At 34.3% G+C, this 23,644-nt stretch overlaps 1 protein-coding gene and 1 long non-coding RNA gene across 21 annotated transcripts in view; one reads left to right on the top strand and one right to left on the bottom strand.

Moving 5' to 3' along the window:
* OPA1 (OPA1 mitochondrial dynamin like GTPase) overlaps positions 1–23,644 on the bottom strand; it is a 104,604-nt gene that overhangs the window by 59,864 nt on the left and 21,096 nt on the right. For 4 of the 20 annotated variants that reach the window (NM_130837.3, XM_047448212.1, XM_047448206.1 and 1 more), the window contains 9 exons: positions 22,907–23,225; positions 22,178–22,274; positions 20,663–20,770; positions 20,111–20,164; positions 19,012–19,079; positions 11,746–11,856; positions 6,283–6,336; positions 2,426–2,530; positions 667–753 (listed from right to left, as the gene is read on the bottom strand). In NM_130837.3, coding sequence (NP_570850.2) covers positions 667–753; positions 2,426–2,530; positions 6,283–6,336; positions 11,746–11,856; positions 19,012–19,079; positions 20,111–20,164; positions 20,663–20,770; positions 22,178–22,274; positions 22,907–23,225 — 1,003 coding nt within the window. Of the gene's footprint in view, positions 1–666; positions 754–2,425; positions 2,531–6,282; positions 6,337–9,331; positions 9,432–11,745; positions 11,857–19,011; positions 19,080–20,110; positions 20,165–20,662; positions 20,771–22,177; positions 22,275–22,906; positions 23,226–23,644 lie in introns of those variants that run through there. The other 16 variants (NM_001354664.2, NM_015560.3, XM_047448210.1 and 13 more) reach the window with 9 other exon arrangements.
* On the top strand, positions 10,616–19,349 carry OPA1-AS1 (OPA1 antisense RNA 1). Its single transcript, NR_046634.1, has 3 exons — positions 10,616–10,719; positions 18,262–18,347; positions 19,038–19,349. It is a non-coding gene; the product is annotated as an OPA1 antisense RNA 1 (long non-coding RNA).

Raw genomic sequence — 23,644 nt, 5'->3', positions numbered from 1 at the left:
CCACAAAACAAAGAACACTTATTCATATTTTTCTGATACCAAATTAAAATTAAAACCTATTTGTAATGCTGCTCTGAGTTTTTTAGTCTTTTAAAATTTCTACAGGTGAAAAAATATTTTAAAATCCGTAAAAAAATGGTGATTGATGCATGTGTGCACATTGAAAATAGGAACAGCAAAACTATAACTGGATCCACTGTTTATAGCCTAATTTTTATTTTAAAAACTTGTGCTAATTTAAACCAGTATTTCTAAAACCAGGTTATTAACTTTCCATAAATCTTTTCCATAGCTAGTTTACTGTTTACAAACACATTTTCAATTCTATTAGCTTAAATTTCACGCATATGGCTAATTTAATCCACTGTTCAGTATTTAAATATTACTAATATTAAGACATATAAAGCCAAATATCTTCCTTTATAACACATACAGTAACTCATAAATATAATGTACTTATATTTATTAATATTTATAATGAACTAAAATAGTCAAATAATATTGCTTAAGACATTACTTGGAACATGTAAGATTACATAAAAAATATAAATGCCTACATCTAGTATGTATATATGTGTATGTGTACATATATACACATAATTTTTAGGAAGCTAAGCTGCTTCTTTTTTTGCTAATTGGCAAGTTCACTATCAATTTTTCACATACCCGTGGCAGATGATCTTGCGTATTATAACTGGCATCATAATCAGAGAGAACATCAAGAACTTCAGAATACATGTCAATCAAAGATTTCTGTAAAAATTTTAAAAAGTTATAATATAAAACAGTAAAAGTAAAGAAAAAAATATAACAGATGTGTCAAGAGAAAAAAGTGATAAATTCAAATTGTTTTTCCATAATCATTGTACTGTTTTCTCAAATTACATAAATACATCTTCATCGTAAAAACTAAAACGGTACAGATTAAAAGTCCATTTCTCATTCAGTTTATTTAGATACAATGATTTAATAAAGTAAATTAATTCAGGATTTCCTAACATTCTAATTAAATAAGATGGAAATTATTACTTAATACTGATGAGCTAATACTGAATGCAAGAAAAGACCATTAACACCAAAAAGGCAAAAAAAAGGTGGTCAGGTAACCAACTGACAATGAAATTATTCTTTGCTAAGTTTGAGGCATGCATGAGAGAGAAAGAGAGAGGACAGAGAGCACGTGCAAGCAAGCATCTGAATAAAGGATAAACCAGGAAGACTGTTAAACCAGTAAGGGTGGTTAAGTATCCACTGACAACTGGGCAGGCTGAAATATGAGTGTAGCAAGGGCAAATATCCTGTATCGTTTCTTGCTGTAGAATCAGAAATGAATGTGGTGCCTTGCATTGCGTGTAACAAGCTTCATGTAAATTTGATGAATGAATGAACAAAAAAATACACAGGCCTGAAAAAAAGGGGTACCATCAAGCATTTAATAATTATGGATAAGTTTTAATGCTAAGGCAGGAGCAAAATGATGGCTTAAGGGTCCTTTCATTTCTTAATCCCTAGAAAAAATTAAATGGCAAGCAATTGCCAACCCACCAGCCTAAAAATAAACAAAAAATGTTAATTGCCACTGCATTTTATGAGAGAAAATACTGTTTCTGAGGTAAACTCTACATATATTAGCACTTGGAAATGACTTTTCTCAGTTCTAAGTGCCACTTGTAAATAGTCATGTTATCTGTTTTATGCAGTCATGATTTATAGTCAAAGCTACTAATGCATGTTTGTTAAGCTAGAACTGTATTATCTTTGGACCTTGACTACAGAATGTACATGCCATGATTTACTGCAGTTTTGCTACATATAAACTCTGCTTACTTATATGAGATTTAAGTTAAATAATTGTTTCAATTCAATTTAGCACATGTGGTTTAGTTGGGTGGGGAATAGTAAGACTTGATTTATTGGTAAATAAGTTCACCAATGTGCTGATAGTAACAATACCAGCACACACTTTTTCGAAAGTTCTTTGAAATGCCTAAGAAAGCTCTCCTTAGAAGAAAAGTGTTAATTTTTTAAAAACTGAAGAAAGTGGTCTAATCATTCACTGGCATACAAGTAAAGCAATGATGATAAGTCACTTACATGTCCATCAATTAACAATTCTGATTTTATATAAAATTTTATGTAAAAGTTAAGCCTAGAGATAAACTAGATATTTCAGAAAAATAAACTGATTCACACGAAATAACTCTTAAAAGTGTAAAGATTTTATGGGCATAGTATAAAACAAGTATTTGGAGACTACAACTTATAAAATGTCTTAATATAGGAAGAGATCCTCCATCCTCCAAGCACATTAGGTTAGAAAGAAAAGGATGACAGAATACTTTACAGCTCCTTAGAAACTGGTACTGATGAACACACAACGTTAAGCGGTAAAATTTTGAGAATAAACAAGACAAACTTAGAATACCTTAAGCTTTCTATGATGAATGCCTTTGTCATCTTTCTGCAATACTAATTTTCTCAATTCTTTGTTCTCCTTTTCTAATCGTTCCAAGATTCTCTGATACTTCAACTGCAATAAAATAATAAGTGTAACTATATAAGCAAAAGATGGGTTATCAAATAGTATTAAGTCTAAATTAAAATCTTCCAAAATCTTGAAGTCATATCTCCTATTTAAAATGTATTACATTTTAAAAGCATCTACGAAAACATTAGGAATAAAATAAACAATGACTATTATCTCTTACAAACAGTGGAAATCATTGTAATTTTCTATCATAATTAAGAATTTCACTTGGAAAATTCCTTGCTACTCACATTGAAAAAATTATTTTGAAATAGTGAAAACGTAAGAATTTAAAGAAGTAGTTCTTAAATACATTCTAGAAGGGAGTATTTCCTATTATATCAAAATTTTAAGTCTTCACATTACAGGGCCACTTAACAAAAATTCAAATTCTTCCCTTTCTTCACATTATTTTAGATTTTAATTAAGATGCTATAAAATAATAGCTAGCAGTACCCAAGCATGCATTATGTGACAGACTCCTTAGTAAGTGGTGCAAACGCATTAACTCCCTTAGCCTTCACAAAAACCCCATAAAGCAGGAATTACACAGACTAGGAATAAAGAGCGAGGAATATCTGAGAGCCTGACCAAGGTCACTTAGTAGAGGAGCAGGGTTTTGAATAGAGGGCTGTCAGAGGCTCAAACTCTTCTATGTTTTGTTATGTTTCCATGTCCAGAGATAATATATTACTATTTCAAAAAATGATATAGGCTGGGCGCAGAGGCTCACACCTGTAATCCCAGCACTTTGGGAGGCCGAGGCAGACGGATCACGATGCCAAGAGATCGAGAGCATTCTGGCCAACATGGTGAAACCCTGTCTCTACTAAAAATTAGCCAGGCGTCGTGGCGGGCACCTGTAGTCCCAGCTACTAGGGAGGCTGAGGCAGGAGAATCGCTTGAACCCGGGAGGCGGAGGTTGCAGCGAGCCAAGATTGCACCACTGCACTCCAGCCTGGCGAAGACAAAAAAAGCTGGGAAGACAAATCAGAAAGGACCAAATTTAATTGAGAAGGAAAATGTGTAGCCAAGCAACTACTTGACAAAAAAACAAAACAAAACACCAAAATCAAAAAGAATCATATAAAAACAGATTTTTAAAGAAGACTAATATGTCTAAACAGGTTTTTTTTTTGTAAGTAGTTGCTTGTCTACACATTTTCCGTCTCAAATAAATTTGATCCTTTCTAATTTGTCTTCCCAGCTTTTATTTCTTCTCTAAACATTAACAACACAGAGAAAACTATTAAAAATAACCCATTCTTACAACCAGCAGAATGTTTATGTCCAACTTATAATATGCCTTTTATAATAAAAAATATTCCTTACAATTTTTTTAGCTTATTGGAATCTTTCAAGAACAAAGTAATTAACAGGAAATCATGGTTCTATCCTTACAGCAAGTCCAACTCAAGCCAAATTAAAAGAACGCATACATAATTGAACACCTACATAGTATGAGACAGGCAGAACTACTGGCTAGACTCTACTATAAACATATTTTTACATAAACTCACTCATTTATATCTAGTAATAGTATATTTAACAAAATTCTGGTAGTATCTAAGGATTAGATCTGTGTTGTTTAACACGGCAGCTACTAGCCACATGTAGTTATCAAGCACCTGAAATGTGGCTGGCCTGAAGTGAGGTTGTGCTGTAAGTGTAAAATACCTCATTCATATTTTTTATACTGATCACATGTTGAAATGATACTATCTGGGATAGACTGGGTTAAATATATTATTAAAACTAATTCCACGTTTCTTTTTACCCCTTTTTAATGTAAAAATTAAAAATTACACAGGTGGCTTGTATATTTCTATTGGACATCATTGATATAGATAACCCAGTGAATTCTCCATAATACAGTCTATCAGTGCCTAGTGACTGACAATTACAATTGCACAAATTGAAGGGTTTGTATCAAGGCATATAAGAGGGTAGAATTTCCACTGGCTCATTTCTTTGTAAACACAAAATCAATTTTGGGGTCTACATTTTCTGGGGATGGAAACATTTTGGTACAGATGCCAATTTGTAGCCATCCTGAAGAGATGTGCTATTGAGCTGTCTCTCAAAGCTCTAGAACAATAATTCTCAAACTTTAGAATGCATCAGAATTATCTTGAGGGCATTTAAAAACAGATTGCTGAGTTTCATCCCAGAGTTTCTGATTCTTCAGAAGGTATGGGATGGGGTCAAGAATGTGCATTTCTAATGTGCTCCAGAGGCTATGCTTTGTGACCAATGACTCTTACCCCTGGTTGCAGATTGGAATCACCTGGCTAGGAACCCTTAAAAACATAGATATAGTGCCACTCAGAGCACAGGTGAGTCTAGCGTATAGTGAGGTTTGAGACTCAATAAATAGATACCAAAGAAACCTGTGACTCAAAACATACTACTGACTGATTATCCCTAATTCAAAAATCTGAAATCCAAAACACGCTGGCCCCAAGCACCTCAGATAAGAGATATTCAACTTGTAGTCGTTTCACTTTTTCACAAAAAAGAGATCCAAGATTAACTCTTTTTCTTATTCTTTTTTGTTTTCTTCCAGACAGGGTCTTGCTCTATTGGCCAGGGAGCAATCATGGCTTACAGTAGCCTTGACCTCCTGGGGCTCAAGTGATCCTCCCGCCTTAGCCTCCCAGTTGCTGGGACTACAGGCACAACCACCACACCTGGCTAATTTTTAAAAAAATTTTTATAGATACGGGGTTTCTCCGGGTTGCCCAAGCTGGTCTCAAACTCCTGGGCTCAAGCGATCCTCCTGCCTCAGCCTCTCAAAGTGCTGGGATTACAGGCATGACCCACCATGCCCAGCTGATAGTAACTCTTTGAACTTTAAAAAATAAGTTAATTAATGCATGTCAGTGTCACCTATATAGAAAAACTGATGATTGAGTAATAGGGTAACTTTTTTTTCTTTTTGAGATGGAGTCTTGCTCTGTCGCCCAGGCTGGAGTGCAGTGGCGCCATCTGGGCTCACTGCAAGCTCCGCCTCCTGGGTTCACACCATTCTCCTGCCTCAGCCTCCTGAGTAGCTGGGACTACAGGCGCCTGCCACCACGCCCAGCTAATTTTTTGTATTTTTAGTAGAGAAGGGGTTTCACTGTGTTAGCCAGGATGGTCTCGATCTCCTGACCTTGTGATCCGCCCACTTCGGCCTCCCAAAGTGTTGGGATTACAGGCGTGAGCCACCGTGCCTGGCTGTGATAGGGTAATTTTGTACTAGAATGTTACCCACTCATTACATTGCACAAAATAGGTCCTTAAAGTAATAATTTTATCACCAACTATAAGAAAATAGCTTTTCTAAGTAGTGCCAGAAAGAGCTTTAGATAAGCATTGTCTGACTGCTTTCAGACTTGCGAAGCAAAGTAAAGGTTCCTGAGAGCCCACTAGAACGATGTGGTAGACTCAACTCGAATTTCTTTAACTGTATTAGCTTATCAATGTAAAAATGCAAGCATAAGTTTATATAAGGACAAGCCACTTTCTCCCTTTTGGGCATAAGATTCACTCAAAATAGGTTTTTACATATAAATGAGTTAACTCCATACTTATCTAGTTCTGTCTTTATTCCTTATTTCTCAATTAGCTTTTGCATCTATCGATAATAATAAGGTTCTATCATTACACCTTCCAAATTTTGCTCTGTTGAAAAAATAAATGTCCATATCACCAAAGTTACATTCGAATATAATTTTTAAAAGTCCCTAGTTTTTCTTAGTCATCATGATTACCTGAGTGTGCAGAAGTTCTTCCTGAAGTTGGTCAATTTTCTCTTTGTCTGACACCTAAATGTTTAAAATAATTTTAGTTGAATAGAATTAGGTTTATACAGAATGTACAGCAAGTTAAATTTTTTTGATAAGTATTGAGAGTTAAAAACAACTGACTTTATATGCATATTTAATCAAAGTAATTTTAAATCAAGTGATTTAAGAAAGTAAAAATACCTGTATTTATCAATAAAAATGGTTCACCAAAATTTTATATTGAGAAACAAAAACCTTAAAAGGCAATCATTTCCCTGTTGCTATTCTAGTCATTTCTTATGAAAGACTAGTTAGAAAAACAAGAGATCAACACATATGGTTACTAAATTCTTCAGAAGTTGTTTTGTACTAAAGCATAGGGATTCAGATATTTGGGGAAATAAAGCACTGATATCCCTCCAGAAATGTGTTTTGAAAAGTCAAATACATGTTACTGATTACAGCTATTTAAAAAGCTCATTGGTCACAGTGTATCTTATAAGGAAATATTTTTGTATTGTATCCATTTCTGTACCATAAGTAGCGAATTATGTAATAAATGCAAAGAACAAGTTGCATTTTCAGAGATTTAAGTGGAGCCAAATGCTTGCTTTTAAATTCAGTTCCAAGGAAAGATCTGCTAACTCGTAACACAGAGAATGCATCCATAGCAATGAAGCCAAGTAAAGCAACTAAAATTAATTTCAATATAAAACAAAAATAAAACTCACAGGTATTGTGTAAACTACTTCAAATTGTTATTAATGCTAATAATTCTAAAATAAAATATTAAAAAACAATTTTATTTTATAACAGGTTTTAAAGTAGTCACAATACAATTATAAATACAAAATATAATAAAAATGATGTGATTTATGATGAATTCACATAACTGTGCTTTGACTTCTTGGTAAGAGGCAGAAGTTGTCATCCCAGCCTTTAAAAATAATTGTCTAATTTCTGAAAATCAAAACTTGTAAATATGAACTTATTTCACAGGAGAAAATAGTTAAATCCATATTCTTCTTCATTTAAATCCTTGTTGATCTTCATTCATTGGTTATTTAAGCAATCACAACACATCATGGCAGCAAATATACATGAAAAATTTTTAAATGATTTGCTTATTGAGGTAGACATTAATAAGTCTTGTCCATGCTATGAAAAGTTATTTTAAGATTTTAATTCCTATTTCTAAATACTTTGTCATAACTATCCCCAATTTTTTATTTCAATAATATAGATAACAACCTTTGTTAGAAACAAAAGGTACACTCTTTTTTTCTTTTTTCCTTAAAAGCGTATGCCTAAATAGCTCCAAAAACGATCTGGTAATTAGAAAAAAGATAATGCAAACTTCAATTGTTTTCCCATTTCTGTACAGCAAGCACAGATCTGCTGATAGAAGCTTTTTTTCATTTTGACTGTGTGTGTTTATGCAGGATGGACAAGAATTATAAACAGTCGCCTAAACTGTGAGGAGACAAGCAAGTTGGAGAGGAGCCCACAAACTAAAGAACAGAATCTTGAAAGCCAATGAAGAAATACATAATTCCACATTATGATCATTTGGCATGCCATCACACTGTAATAGTGTGGTCATAAAAAATTGTTATGTGGATTTAATTTCCAATTCATTTGAAAAGGTACTTTGATTTACTTTGTTCCATTAAATATTTATCCAACTGTAGCTAAATTAGTATGAAATGTATAAACTGTATTAGTATAAATTGTTTTAGTTTTAAATGTAAATACTAACTGACTTCATGCAATATATCCTAAATTATTATAGAAAATCCAACATTACTTGACATCTGGGGCAATAACTTAAAAACTAATACAATTAAACAAAAAAGTTAGGATGTTTAGTATAAGCCAAGGGCTATAAAAGGTTAACTTAATTTGGTAAAATAAAAAAGTTATATAAAAAGTTAAAATGATATAAGGTTAGTAGAATATTACAAATATAATTTCTTTTTTCTTTTTTTTTGAGACGGAGTCGCCCAGGCTGGAAGCTCTGCCTCCTGGGGTCACGCCATTCTCCTGCCTCAGCCTCCCAAGTAGCTGGGACTACAGGTGCCCGCCAGCACACCCAGCTAATTTTTTTTGTATTTTTAGTAGAGATGGGGTTTCACCATGTTAGCCAGGATGGTCTCGATCTCCTGACCTCGTGATCTGCCCACCTCAGCCTCCCAAAGTGCTGGGATTACAGGCGTGAGCCACCGTGCCCCGCCTACAAATATAATTTATATGCTAGATTAGTAGTATTTAATGATCACAAGTGTTAAGATGTTTATAAATTTGAATTTTAGGATAAAATGTATCATTTGCCTTTCTGGTACAATGAATAACTCACACATGGTTTACCAGCATGTTTCCTCTCCGCTTAGTTTAATGGAACATCACAATTAATCATAATGTTATATTAAAAGACAGCTGGCCAGGTGCGGTGGCTCATGCCTGTAATCCCAGCACTCTGGGAGGCCGAGGCAGGCGGATCACCTGAGGTCGGGAGTTCGAGACCAGCCTGACCAACATGAAGAAACCCCGTCTCTACTAAAAATACAAAATTAGCCTGGTGTAGTGGCATGTGCCTGTAATCCCAGCTACTCGGGAGACTGAGGCAGGAGAATCGCTTGAACCCGGGAGGCAGAGGTCGCAGTGAGCTGAGATAGTGCCACTGCACTCTAGCCTAAGCAACAAGAGCGAAACTCCGTCTCAAAAAAAGAGTAAAATAAAAGACAGCTGGTGGTAAAGTAAAAAATTAGACCTAATATTTCCTAGGAAACAATATAAAAACATTTAGATTTATAAAACAAACATTAAAGATTGATGAGATGATAATTTTTATATATTTTCTTAAGAGAATAACACAAGCTATTTTCAATCTGTCACTCTAGGTCTTAACTAGCAATTGGGGTATATTTTATTTTGATGTGCTTTACTGATAAAATTCAGCCACTTACAACAAGAACAAGTTCATGTCCTGTTGTTCAATATATTGTTTGCATCATGAAATAAATTTAAAACTCACCCTGACAGAAATGGATATCAATGGTCTTGAAACCAGAGCTTTTCTACAATTCCAGGGCTATGAAACTGATGGAGAAAGAGCGGAATCCTCCGCAGAAACAAGCTAAAGCTGAAAGAGAAAAACCTTTACTAGCTCCTCACAAAACCAAGCCCTAATTTAAAAATTTCAAGTATTTCTTCCTATTAAGGCATTGAGGCCATTCTGAAATTCTGAAATACATATATAAAAAGGTCATTGTAAAAATTTCTATGTATGTGAACATATCCATAGGAAGCAAAACTACCAATGGTAGTTCTAATCTTCTGTCTCTGCTTGAGTTCTTTTGCTGAGAAGATACAGGGAAAATTTATTAGTTGCTACTAATAAGACATCAAAAATGATGATCTACTTAGACTTTCAAGAAGATAAGAGAGAAAAAACAATTAAAAAACAACAAAAAGTACTTGCGGTTTTATGCATCAAGTAAACCTCACATGCCTGGAATGATAAAAATCTCATGAATTAGGATTTTGATCATTATGGCAGTGAAGAACCGAAAAGTCATCTCTATAGTAACTACAGGGGGAAAGGAGTGGAGGATATTGTAAGGTAACAGTCTTTCGGGATAGTAAGAGGGATAATTTCACTATAAAAGAGCATAAATTGCTTTTAAAGTCCCATTTACTTCCCCTCAAGGTAACTACAGTGTGGGCAGAAACAAGCCATGTTTGGTGCTCTACTCAGGGTAAAAAGTCTTGCCAGTCTCTAATTTACAAATCGGGAAAGGGAGATATAAAAGGGTTAAACAGATAACCCAATAAATATCAGAAAGAGGAATAACATCTCTAAGCCCAAATAAAGGCTACTAAAGTAGGCTTAAAATGAACATTAGCTTTCAGCAATGTAGAAAATGAATCAGTATTCATTATGGATATCTCTTGAATTGTCAGATTCAAAAGCTCATCATTAACCTTAAGTCATATCTTAGAATGTTAAATAGCAGGCCTATGGGACTCATTTCAAGTTGTCTTACGAAAAAAACTTAAGAACAATGTGTAACTACAGCTACATTCTTATTTCTAAGTAACATATAAGAACATACTTGCTCCTCTCCCTTCTTTCCATAACAAAACTAAAGTATAGGTGGCTCAGCCTAAGCATCCAATTTATTAGGCTATTTAAATGATATATTCACAGTATACAGAACAGGGATTGTTAAAGTACCATTCAAAAGAAGTCCTCCTTGGCTTAACACATCGACTTTAATTTAACCAGGTAGGAAACTCACTTCTTTTCTTTTTCTAGCTATGTTTTTGCTCACCGAAGCTAAATATACATATGAATTGATTCCACAGCCATGGAATTGAGAAAAACCAGGAAGTGATGCTGAAAACATAAATGAAACTATGGTGAGTACTCTGAAGTACTAACCACCACCAAATGAGATAAGGTTAGCCAGCAGAATTACTGCACTAAATCATAATCTATAATATTGGTTGATTTAAATAGTAGAATGTACAAGAATTACATGACTGAATCTTTTTTCCTGACTAGCATTTGTATATAACTTCAAAACTTTTCTGAGCTAATAAGATGTAACATAATTAGCTGATTTCAAGATCTCAGAGTATAATTTTAAATTCATTACACTGATTTCACTTTGACCCAAAAGTCTCTTCCAAACATGAACTTTGGGATCTCCGTTGTGGGATTACCTAACCATTAAAATCATATTTTTACGGACCTGCTGATTGCACCAACAGCCACATATTGGTATACACTTAAGCTTTTATTAGAACTTGTTCTTTAGCAACCAGAATTATATCAAATTTCCAGTGTTCAAACCCTCCGTGGTCCAAGGTGAAAATTTATTTGTGCTGACTTTGATTAATGTGAAAAATGTACGCAATGAGTTTGTCAAAGTGTATAAGAACTACATGCTTTTGCCCAAAAGTCAAAATAATTTTCTTCTACAAGAATATGAATGTTCCCTGTCCATATACTTTAGCTAAAACAAATAAATAAATGTTATTCTTTAGTGTAAACTGGTCATCTACAGCAATGCTTTTCATTTTAGAAATAAAAACTTGGGGAGCAAGTAGGTAGGTAAGATGCCTACAAACTTAGGGTGACTCAATAACTGGACCACATAAACAGAAATTCCTAATTTTGTTCTAAGTATAAATACAGGGACCCTACAGACAACCTAATTTTCAGAAACCAAAATTCCTCTGCTTGAATTTGTTTCTTTTGGCTTTACCTATACTACCCACTCCAGAAAAGTTACATATTTATATGATGCATCTTTTATATTTTCACTTTGTCAAATTAATTTCTTGTATTTGGAGTCCATGAACAGATTGAGGTGACATGATCTTGGCAGAAATGGCTGATTAGTGTGAATGTATCGGTAGCCCCCTTAAACCATCCATCACCTTGCGCTTCTGTTGGGCATAGCTCGTGCTATATTGGCCAGCGGCTCTGCGCGCTTCCTCTTCATGCTCTTGAATTTGTTGTTGTAAGAGAATGAGCTCACCAAGCAGACCCTGCCACGAGTTCACAATGAGGAGAAGAGGAAATTGGGGAGGAGAATAATGTTAAACCAAGGGTGCAACAAAGGAACAGATGTAAGCTAGGGAGGGATGGTTAACTTAAAACAGAAATGGAAACTCATTTAAAGCCGTCATACCCTTGGGCTCTGTACCGCATTTCCATTTTCCTCCTCAGTAAATCAGATGTCTCAGAAAAATAAAACAGCATAGTTTAAAAAGTGAAAAGGAAAGTGCAATAATAAGTGCTAAATAAAATGATCCAGATATATAAAAAATATGGAGAAAAAATACTGATTTTTTTTTTTTTTTAACAGTGTTGATCTTACTGGTCTAAATTTTCTAATTCTCAACCATGATTCTCTCAGGACTGATTGAAGATCATAATAGCTTACTTACTTATTAAATTATTATTCTTAAGTTAGTATTTTTTCTTGATATTTCATTTATTCAAGTAAAGGTCCCTAGGAACAGGTTTCCATCATCAAGTTAATAAAGGTTGTACATTAAGTCATATATTCTATGTGCCTTTGCATACATTTGATTAAAATTTGGGGTTCTTTATTTAAATTAAAAGATAATGTTTCAGGTTGTTTTGATTTCATATATAATATCAAATAACTAGTCTGACCGAATTTTCACTTTTTATGAGCTGTTTTGACAACATTAAATAGAAACAGCCTCTGAGAATACAGCCAAGCATATACAAATTACTAAACAAAAGTGCTATAAAAAAACACAATTAAGATATGGAGACAATATAGTTATTATGAAATTCTGAAATGAAAACAAAACACAGTTTGGACCTATGCACAAAAAATCACCTTTTCTATTTCTAAAATTCATTCCACTTCATAATTATAAAATAGTATATTGATACAATTTTTAATACAGGATATTCACATGTGGCATGATGTCATTTCCTGCATAGCTTTATTAACTGATGGCCTCTTAGATAATCGACCTCAAAAAACGTGGAAGAAAGACCACCAAGATTTGACAATGTTACAAGCCTAATGTTTTCTTAATTAGAAATCCTAAAAAAAGTAAAGTTCTAATGAAGGAGGTAACCATTTGTTTAAGAACAGCGTTCTGGGAAAACAATGGACTCAATTTTTACCAAGTTATAAAAATAAAAAGAGGAAAATGGGTATTTATTAAGATATTCTAAATTAGGAGTTTTAAATAGTTTCAGAGTTAAAAAATGACTGCCCAAAATATTTTATTTTATATAATTAGAAAGTGTCTTAAAGTCTGGATATAACTTGGAGAATTTTTATTCTGTTAGTTTTGATACATTAGGCTGTGTTCATTGCCAGTATTAGACAATAAATGAAAGTGGTTGATTTATTATAAATCAAAGGTTAAAACTAGTTGATTTCTTCCACATGACAAATGAAATTCAATATTTGTTTCCAGATACAACAGTATAAAATAGTTATAAAAAGACATGTCTTTAAATAAATCAGTTTTATGATCATTAACAAACCTATCAAAGAAAGACAATGCTAACTACTATCCTCATCATTCTCATAATTTTTACCTTTAAAAAAAATTATTGCTTTATCAAGCAGAAAGAAGAGTAACCTGATTTATTTTCTTTCATTTGATCATTTATCACAATCCTTTATTCAAATTATCCAAGTGTTCAAATTTCTCAAACAATTCCCTTTAAAGAAGGCTTCCTATGTTGGTTTATACAGTAGTGTACCTGCTGTATTTACATACCACTAGTATTCTAATTTATAAAATCCCAAAGCCGTGAGAAAATATTCCACATTTCTTTCTTAAGACTAGTCAAGAGCAATAGTGAGAAGGGGGCAAAGAGTAGAACAAAGAGTTCAATCTGTAACTGACTGTGATTAATCAATTGAGATAACTCATTCCCTTTGGATCAGCCATATTCCACATTTCTCACTCGCGTCTATAAGGCACACAATGCTTTTTTTTACAGCTTAAAAATTCCTCTCGAATTCACTGCTTATGTATATACACAACTGCATGGTAAATACTCCAATCATCTATTAGATTTCAAGAAAACACTCTAGGGACATGTCTCTTTCCTTCCATGCCTGTTACTAAAGCACTATTATGTAAAGATAGTTGAAATGAACTGAAATTGACCTCCTGAAAAAGTAGGAAGAAAACAAGAATTAGACATAGAAAAGCTATTTACATGATACTACACTTATACCAAGGTTACCTGTCTTTGATTTTGTGCACCAGTCTTACCCTAAATACCAAGTGATGGCCACACAGCCTCTAAGCTAAGGCCATGTGGAACAGGAAGAGGAAGAAATCTATGCACCTACTGTGCAAGATACACTCCTCAGATGTACAAACCACATTTTTCAATAAATATTTTCCCAAGCTTAGACATTTTTCTTTCAAGAAATGGTACAAAAATAATTTTTAAAACAATGTATATAATATATAAAATACAGTAGTATTTATAAATAACAATAAATAATCATTAACAATCACAGATGATATAGTCTCTTAATATCTCCTGACTCCTGGCTATTGTCAGTTTGACACTGCAGATCTCAATCTCTCATCTCTCTTTTTTTAAATCTCCATCTCTGAATCAGCTTCCTTATCTCAGTCTCATTTCACGTACAAAGTCCTGTTTTTTTTTAATTATAACATCAGATCAAGAAAATTAGTAATAACTCCAGAAACCAAAATATCAATGAAAATACTGTGCTAACCTAAAAGTTAATGAGTTTGGTAGAGAAGAGTTTAAGTAATCTTGAAATATTATACTATGGTCTGAATTTTTGTCTCCCACAATTCATATGTTGAAACCTAGCCTCACAATGTGATAGTATTGAGAGGTGGGGCCTTTGGGAGGTGATGAGGTCATGAGGTTTCTGGAGTTATTGGCCTTACAAAAAAAGGCCAGAGCTGCCTGGCCCCTTTTGCTATGTAAGGATATAGGGAGAAGGCATCATCTATGAAGCCAAGGGTCCTCAAAAGACATCGAATCTGCCAGTGTCTTGAACTTGGATTTCCAGTTACTACATTATTTGTTGCATAAGAAATCCCAGAAAAGCAAGTCCTACTTAAGCAACTCTGCTTAATTCCAATTCAGAATATCAAGTACATGAACTACTTTTACAGCCTTGTTCTCCTCAATGGTTGCCAAATATGAAGGCCAGGGAGAATTTGCAGGTAATGAGAGCAAAAAATTGAGGGGACCAAAATTTTGTTGGCATCAACCAGATTTATTTACTTTAATCAGCCTCTACTCTACCGAGTTAAATCAATCAACTGATTTTACTAAGACACAAGACTATCCCAGGTGCTCTGAGAAAAAGATTTAGTAACAGAAATGGCCGATTAGATAGTAAGAATGTAAGCCAAAGTAAATAGTGTTTCATATGGCAAGTGTTTTAAACACTCAGAAGAATATAATTAATGGAGCTACAAAGGTTATGGAAGGCTTCATGAAGTGACAATTGAGCTATGCTATAAAGATGAGTGAACACTAAACACGCGGGAAAAAAGAAAAGAGATACTTCAGCTGGGGAGGTACAACATAAACTATAAAATTAAGAATCAGACTGCTGGGTGGCTCACGCCTGTAATCCCAACACTTTGGGAGGCAGAGGTGGACGGACCATGAGGTCAAGAGATCAAGACCATCCTGGCCAACCTGGTGAAACCCTGTCTCTACTAAAAATACAAAAATTAGCTAGGCGTGGTGGCAGGAGCCTGTAATCCCAGCTACTTGGGAGGCTGAGGCAGGAGAATCGCTTGAACCCGGGAGGCAGAGGTTGCAGTGGGCCAAGATCGTACCACTGTACTCCAGCCGGGTGACAGAGTGAGACTCCGTCTCAAAAAAAAAAAAAAAAAAAAAGAATGAGAGTAATATGTTGCAAGAAAGAACATTAATGTATTATAATTTAATAATTATACTTAAAACAATACTACTACTTTTCATGATTTGGGCCATGAAAAAGTCCTTCAAATATTTTCTATAAATTATAAATGTGCTTGTTGCCTTCTGAATCGCCATATTTCTTACTTCTGTGAGATGCTTATGACCAATCAGAAACATGATAGAACAAAAGCACAGAAAATAAAATGTCTCATTTTGCAAATCAATTTCACTGGAACACAATAATCTTACAGAATCTAAAAAAGGGAATGAACTAAGTGGTCTTGTCACCGGTATATATGATGACTGATATACAGCAATCTGCTGACTCCCAAATTAAATTAGTCCAATTCTCTAAAGTAGGCAGCACTTCGATTCATCTTCAGGTAGTTCTGAAGGTCTCCGAGTCTCAGTAATATTCAGTTCACATCCAGGGCTATGTCTTTTTTCCTCCAGTGGACATACGTTTTCAAATTTTTGATTAACAAGAAGCATTTATTAAGAGGTGGTTTTAATGTATGTCAATCATACCTCAAGATAGTAGTGTAAGGTTAAAAATGGTTGGTTTTACTATTTTTTTCAATGTTTCATTAATCAAATCATATCAGAACTTTTGATCAACATGACATAAATAATTCAGTAGTGTCCACAAACTGAATGGATATAAATCCAGGCCAAACCAAAGAAACTTGATTAATTCGTTAGCCTGTGCAGCATTATGTGGAAATCTATGCTTTCTGTAGACTTTTTGAAGACCGGTATTATAACTTTCCAGGACACCTAAAACTCCAGTAGTAACCCCAGGCTGGGAATCACAGGTTATCGGTTCATCATGTTTATTCTGTCTGACTGAAGTCAAACTATCTGTGTTCCCCTCAGCTCCCCGTCACTTTCACTTCAGTTGATTCTGAATGGTCCTAACTGTTCTGCTAGTTGCCAGCACTTCTCCAGATGTGTTTTCCTATTAGAAAGGACAAATCTTTTCTTTAGTTCTAGTTGTAGAAATGTTTTTCAATTATTATTACTTTTTTAAAAAGCTGATTCACATGCACTTTTACATTTCTAGTAGAAGTCTAGCCAGAAACTTTGTTACAAACCTGACAACCATTAAACTAATACTTGACTGCTTCAAATTCTAAATACTGTTTAAATCTGGGGCTTTCAGCCCTCAGACTGAACCAGTTAAAAAAGTATTCAGCTAAAGCCTGGCCACCTTACCACCTCTGATTATTGCCCACATTTTCAAACTTGATGTCAGAGTGATTTCAAAAAGGGTACTGCTAAGCTAAGGTCTCTCTTTGCATGCTTACATTCAACCATCAATTTGTACACAAGTCTCAAAATCACTCAGTTTAGCTGAGTGACTCATCATTCTCAAGCATCACAAGTAACAGCCAAGCTTTGCAAACACAATGCTGCATATTATTAATAACAGAATTTGAAACCATCAGTTGGGGCTTGAGACACATTTTTGGATAGTAAATTTTTATAGTAGCATTTGCTATAATTTGACTTAACCAGTAATGAAAGTAGCTTAATTACAACTCTAGATTCAGTATGTGTAACAAATAGTTAAAAAAAAAATTGGTAAGTCTTTAATGGGGAAAATAAGCACCATAAATTGAGAAAAAGTTAAAAGGAAATAGTTTACAAGGACATGTATTGTCAAACAAGCAAATCAAAACAAGCAAAGAGTAAATTAGAACATAATGTAATAAATTTAATTCCATGTCTACTGTATAAAATAAAATCTGTAAATATAATTAAATTTCCAAAAATAATTATCTGGCTTCTTTTCTATTGCAGAGCTTCTGTTCAATTACTGATTATTCATCTATGACCTTAGCCGGGTTTTAAGGGAATTATCTGAGTCAGGCCCTGAGACAGGTTTTTCATTCACCACAGTGATCCTAGGCCATAAGAGAGAAAGCAGACACACAGACTTCTCCTAACCAATCTGGCAAACAGAAATCTTGTCACTCAAAGAACCACACTACCACACCTGTAACAAAGGCTCCTTCTCCCCATTAGATTAGCTCTTCTCTCCACAGTAAATTTAATTGCCTTAAGGGCTAAGGCCTTCACTCAAAATAAGCCACAACTATTAGGCTAATTTCTACTTATTTTTTTTTCCCCCAGTAGCATGAACAATCAAGAGTGTCCTTTGGTTAAAATAATGTCAATGCAAAAGAGGGTCAAAAAAGATCAAATCAAAAGACAAATACACGTACATACATTTTGACATACATTTTTCTCCAAAAGATAAAATTAAAAGGCAAAAGAAAAAAATCTTTTGAAATATAATTAAAATTTGGAATATAAAAAGTTCAAAGTTGAAGAACAAGGAAAGAGATGAAAACCTATTCATAGAAATTATTTCTTCTTTCTGCTTCCAAAATAAACATTATTTCTTTGATGTATTAAAACTATAATAACCTCCAGTATAAAAATTACATGTTCCATATTACATGAATGTTAAAACATTCATACAATATTTTTTCTATAAATCTATTATCTAGGTATTATTTAGAAAAAAACTTTCAAGGAATCAGTTATTTTACCAATTCCAAAAGAATGAAAAAAGTGAAGACTCAGAAAACGTCAGGTAAATATATGAGTATTATAAATACAAACAAAGTATGTTATTCTACCTCAGCAATTCTCCTATAACTTTCATATGGATTTTGTTAATGAATATGTGTTGAAAATAACATACCATAAATAACCCCATACATAACTTTGTTAACTATCAATATCAGGGAATTGATTTATTTCCTAATAACCCAATTCCTATTCCCTTTCTAGTTTCCCCAAAGTGAAATCTAGTCCCTATACGACGTTCCATGAGCAAAAGGGTTCTGTTGATAAATAATTTGGGAAAACACTGTATGCTTTGACTCCTTGGAAATTCACAATGCGCATGAGTATATTACAGTATGAGAGGTCCTAGGGAAAGAAAAGAAGTCCGCTTGCCTTGTCTAAACGAGCCTTTCTCCCCCCACACACTTAACAACACAACTCTTTCTTGGGGACAACCCTCGAAACTAATGCTTCACTGGACATATGTGAAAGAAATGGGCTTCTCAATTATATTTCCAGAACTGCCACGTAATACCTTGTACTTTGCACTAAGATTAGTAACGATATCTCTACTTGGATGTTTTTGTATTTGCTTCTCAGATGTTATCATTTTAAAATCTTCCAAAGAAGTAAAAACTTTAAAAAATCTTTCAAGACTACCTACATGAACAATTCTCTTTTACACTTACCTTTCTAAAATGCTTGTCACTTTCAGATCCACGATCTGTTGCTCTAAACGCCGTTTCTTCCGGAGAACCTTAAAGATAAATATGCAACCCTTTACATTCTCCAGTGATGTCAACAGCCTAAGCTGAATTTCAAATTACATCGAGTCAATGAAAAGGTGAATGGATTTTTAGAGCAACTCAGATTCAAAGAATCAAATCGCCTTTATTCTTATTTTAAGGAACATGACTGATAACCTGTGCAGAAAATAAAAAAAAAACTAACTATAGCAATCGCAGCATATGTTTAACCTAACAATTAAAAATATATAACTGAAAATTACAATAAAAAAATAAGACAATCTTTGGTAAGGATTATTTTACATGAGAGTACTTACAGTTCAGCCACATACCACTGGCATTACAGACCATGTATAGCAGGAAAACAATTTTTTTTTCTTTTCTTTTTTTTTTTGGGGGTGGGGGGCAGAGTCTCCCTCTGTCGCCCAGGCTGGAGTGCAGTGGCGCGATCTTGGCTCACTGCAACCTCCGCCTCCTGGGTTCAAGCAATTCTCCTGCCTCAGCCTCCCGAGTAGCTAGGACTACAGGCGTGTGCCACCACGCCCGGCAAATTTTTTGTATTTTTAGTAGAGATGGGGTTTCACCGTGTTAGCCAGGATGGTCTCGATCTCCTGACCTCATGATCCGCCTGCCTTGGCCTCCCAAAATGCTGGGATTACAGGCATGAGCCACCGCGCCCGGCCGGAAAACAAATTTAAATGTCAACCATGACAGGGCAGATGAGACAAACTAAAATTACTTTTCATTTCAATTATCAAAAACAATTAGATCTATTTCAAGAAAATATTTTTGCTAAGTAAATTTTCTTTTAATAGCTTTAATCTTATAATACACATACATATTTAAGAATTTTAGTGTTATCACAAAATAATTATTTTATTATTTCCACCTAAAGGATAATGAGTTTGCCTAATATAGTTCTGGGGTTTTAAAATTCAGCATAAGCAGCATTATAAATTTGGTCTGCAATTTTATTTGCAACTAGTTTATTAGAAGCATTTAAAAGGCATGTTAAGGTCAGCAAAAATGTCTGTTTACACACCTAACAAGAGAAGTAGGTCAGAAGCTCCTATGACTTCACTAACCAATTTGTGACCTGTGAAAAATCAGCAAAAGGGGAAATAGAAATGTAAAATTTAACAGAAATGAGCAAACAAAGATGTCTGAGATCTCAGATTTCATATTACGATAGGGCAATAATTGGGCAAATATGCCAGGATTAAACTTAATAAATGCTACTCATTATGGTCTATCATACTTAAATTTGTTTTAAAACCACCAAATTGGTCCAACCACTTATGAAAAGCAAATACATAGGAAGTCTCATCTACTTGTCAAGAACAAGTGATACATTTTTTCCCCTCACTAAAAGCCAAGTATGTTTAAGTGCTTAGGAACTGTCATTTTACTGGGCTACACAAAGATTAAAACCATTGTGTAACAAAACTTTGTGTTTATCTTTTTAAAAAATGTCCTGTTTTTCATTGGTACTAAATATTTTAATTTTAAAAAAATGGGAATAAACAAATAATCCATGTATTTTTCCTCCATGGTTCTTAAATTTTTAAATTAGATCAAACAGCTTCTTCCTTACCTGAGGTAAAAAAGTCCTTCAATAAGCTAAGGCTTTCAACAATCTTGTCAAAGTCTGGTGCTAACTTTACAAGGTCTTCTGAACTAGGAAGGGCTTTTCTAATTTTCTCTGGAAAAGATCAAAACATATAGAGTATGAAACTAAGAAAATATGTCAGATACTATTCTTATAAAGGGCTAAAGTATTAACTTGTTTAATCCTCATGACAACCCTACAAAACAGCTACTATTATCAACACCATTTACAGATGAGAAACTAAGGTACACAGCAAGGAAGTGGAGGAGCCCGGGTTCCAGCCCAGGCAGTCCAGCTCCAGAATACAGGCTCTCAGCCACTACGCTGTGGTACTGGCAAATACATCAATTTGAAAGCTCTCCTCATTAATATTAGAAGAACAATTTGAAAGTGTGCTTTTTTTGCAAATGGATTCGTCAACATAGAACAGTTTTATCTTTATAAATTCTGTGAATAAGTGCAAGTATAGATTAATTCCACCTCCACATACACCTAAACTAAGAAATCTGACAAAGGTTTTAAAAAAATTTGATGAAAATATATTTCTTAAAGATCACCATGAATTACTGGCAATCATAGCGATCCAATATACTTTTTTCTCATCCACCTATTGAAAAAGGGAGGGCAGTGGCCAACTAAGAAAAGAAATTACCCTGGATACTAACAGACTTTTAAAGAACTTGGCTACAAAAGGTAGAGATAACCAAGGTATCCAATCAAAAGGAGCTAGCTAGGTGGGTCACAATAAATATGCTCTGGGCAACATTACATAATGCAGAAAATGATATTATTAATAGAAAGGCTACTTGGCAGCATGGAAATGCTGACAAAATATGTTAGGTAGCAAAAGACAAAATACCAAAGTGAATATTCACCATGATTACATAATTTTTAAAAAGGGAACTAAAATACTATTCTGTGGTAGTATTCATGAAAAGAAAAAAATTAAAAGAAAAAAACTCAAGCCAGGCATAGTGGCTCACACTTGTAATCTCAGTGCTTTGAGAGGCTGAGGTGAGAGGTTTGAGCTAAGGAATTTGAGACTAGCCTGGGCAACATAGTGAGACTTCATCTCTACAAGAAATTAAAAAATCAGTCGGGCATGGTGGCACACACATGTAGTCCCGGCTACTTGGGAGGCAGAGTCGGAAGGACTACTTTAGCCAGTTCAGGGCTGCAGTGAGTTATGATTCCAAGACCGCACTTCAGCCTGAGTGACAGAGCAAGATCCTGTCTCAATCGATAAGTTAAAAAGATACTAACCACATATAGTAAGTATAATTAAAAGAAAATGCTCCAAACAGTTAGTGGCAGCTGTGGTAAAATTATGGGCTACTGGGTATTTCTTTTATACAGATTTTTTCATTGATATTCTATTACTTATATCATTAAAATAAAACCGTGATATATTAGGTTCATAAGTTAAGAAACTATCTCAATAAACTATTTCTCTTTCCTCGAGATGACCAAAAAAAGTATTTTAATGTTCATGATACAAACCAAAATCGATATACTCATCAATTTCCCACACAATGTCAGGCACAATCCATTTATATTCACTAAGGTCCGGTATCATATCTTTCCACTGATCAAAAGTCTAAAAGACAAGAAAGTGTGTCAATCAGATGCTCTGCATGCCAAATAAACATGTAAAGAAAAATTATTTAATTAAAACACATTAATCTACTAAGAATAATGTATTATGTTCAAAACTTTTAAGAAACAAAATTAAGTGGTCTCAGCAAACAAGCATATAAAACAAGTTAACACTCCTCTGTTAAATATGGAAAATGTAAAAATTCAGAATATACTCCTATTTCAAACAGGTTTCATAATTTTGCCCTAAATATTACTGTGGGGTAGAAGGAAGACAGACTGGGAGACAGGACGCCTTGCCTCTGGTCCCAGACCTGCCAAGAAGTGCTTGTGTGAGAATGCCACCTGACTTTCACATCTGTGCTACTAAATGTCTAAGCTCAAAATCAAACCTAGGTGTTCCTATTCCCAGCCCTGTGCTCCTTCCACTAGGCCATTTTAATTTCCTGTAATTATAACTAAGATTCTAAAGGCATCTTCCTATTAGCATCATTAAAACAATCTAGTCCATGGTAGAGACACAAAATAAATGTTTAAACATCCAATTGTATTCCACTACACAAAAATGATTTATGCTATAGAAACTTAATCATGATATAATAATTGGAAAACCAGGAGGAATGTCAAGTTCACCTTTTTGGCTGTGTAGCCACCCCCAACAGCCGATCCTAGTATGAGATAGCGAAGTTTTAAGAGTCTCGTAGCTAATCTTGCTGGCCAAAAATTCCTGCGAGGCTGGTAGCCATATTTAATTGGAGAGAATTTCAGTTTACGTAAAGGAAGGTTTGTCAGAGAAGAGAACTGCTGAAAGGATGTCCTTAATTGGGGTCGTTGAAGCTTTAAGGTAGGATGATGTGAATGATAAATGCTTCGTGAAACCAGATGTAGTTTTTGTAGTGGTAAACTTCCTTTTATTCCAGAGCTGTGTTTCACTAAAGACTGGCAGACCTCACTGAAAGAAAAATGAATATGGAAGAAAGATCAGAGAGGGTAACAGTACAAAGGAAATGACATTAAAAGAGCAATATACTAAAGGAAACACAGCCCCATACGTGACTAACCACAATGTCACACAATAGTTCACATTTACTAACCATTGACTATGTGCCAGACATGGTTACAGTATGTGCTATCTCATTTAATCCTGCTAACAATCCCATGTAGAAAGTACTAGTATTATCCTCATTTTACAGATGAGGAAAATGTGGTGCAAAGACTTAAATAACTTGCCCAAAGTCACACTGACATAAGAAACAAAGGCATGATTCAAACCAAAGCAGTGGGACTCCACTCTAATATGTGGGCTATGATCCTGGTCTCAGGAATTGAAACCAAAGAGAGAAAAGGCAGGGACTTATTTTATTAACTACT

Source organism: Homo sapiens, chromosome 3 (genome assembly GCF_000001405.40).
Source record: "Homo sapiens chromosome 3, GRCh38.p14 Primary Assembly".
Classification (NCBI taxonomy): Eukaryota; Metazoa; Chordata; class Mammalia; order Primates; family Hominidae; genus Homo; species Homo sapiens.
Note: the sequence above shows the minus strand (reverse complement) of the source record. Positions and strands in the feature narration are given on the sequence as shown.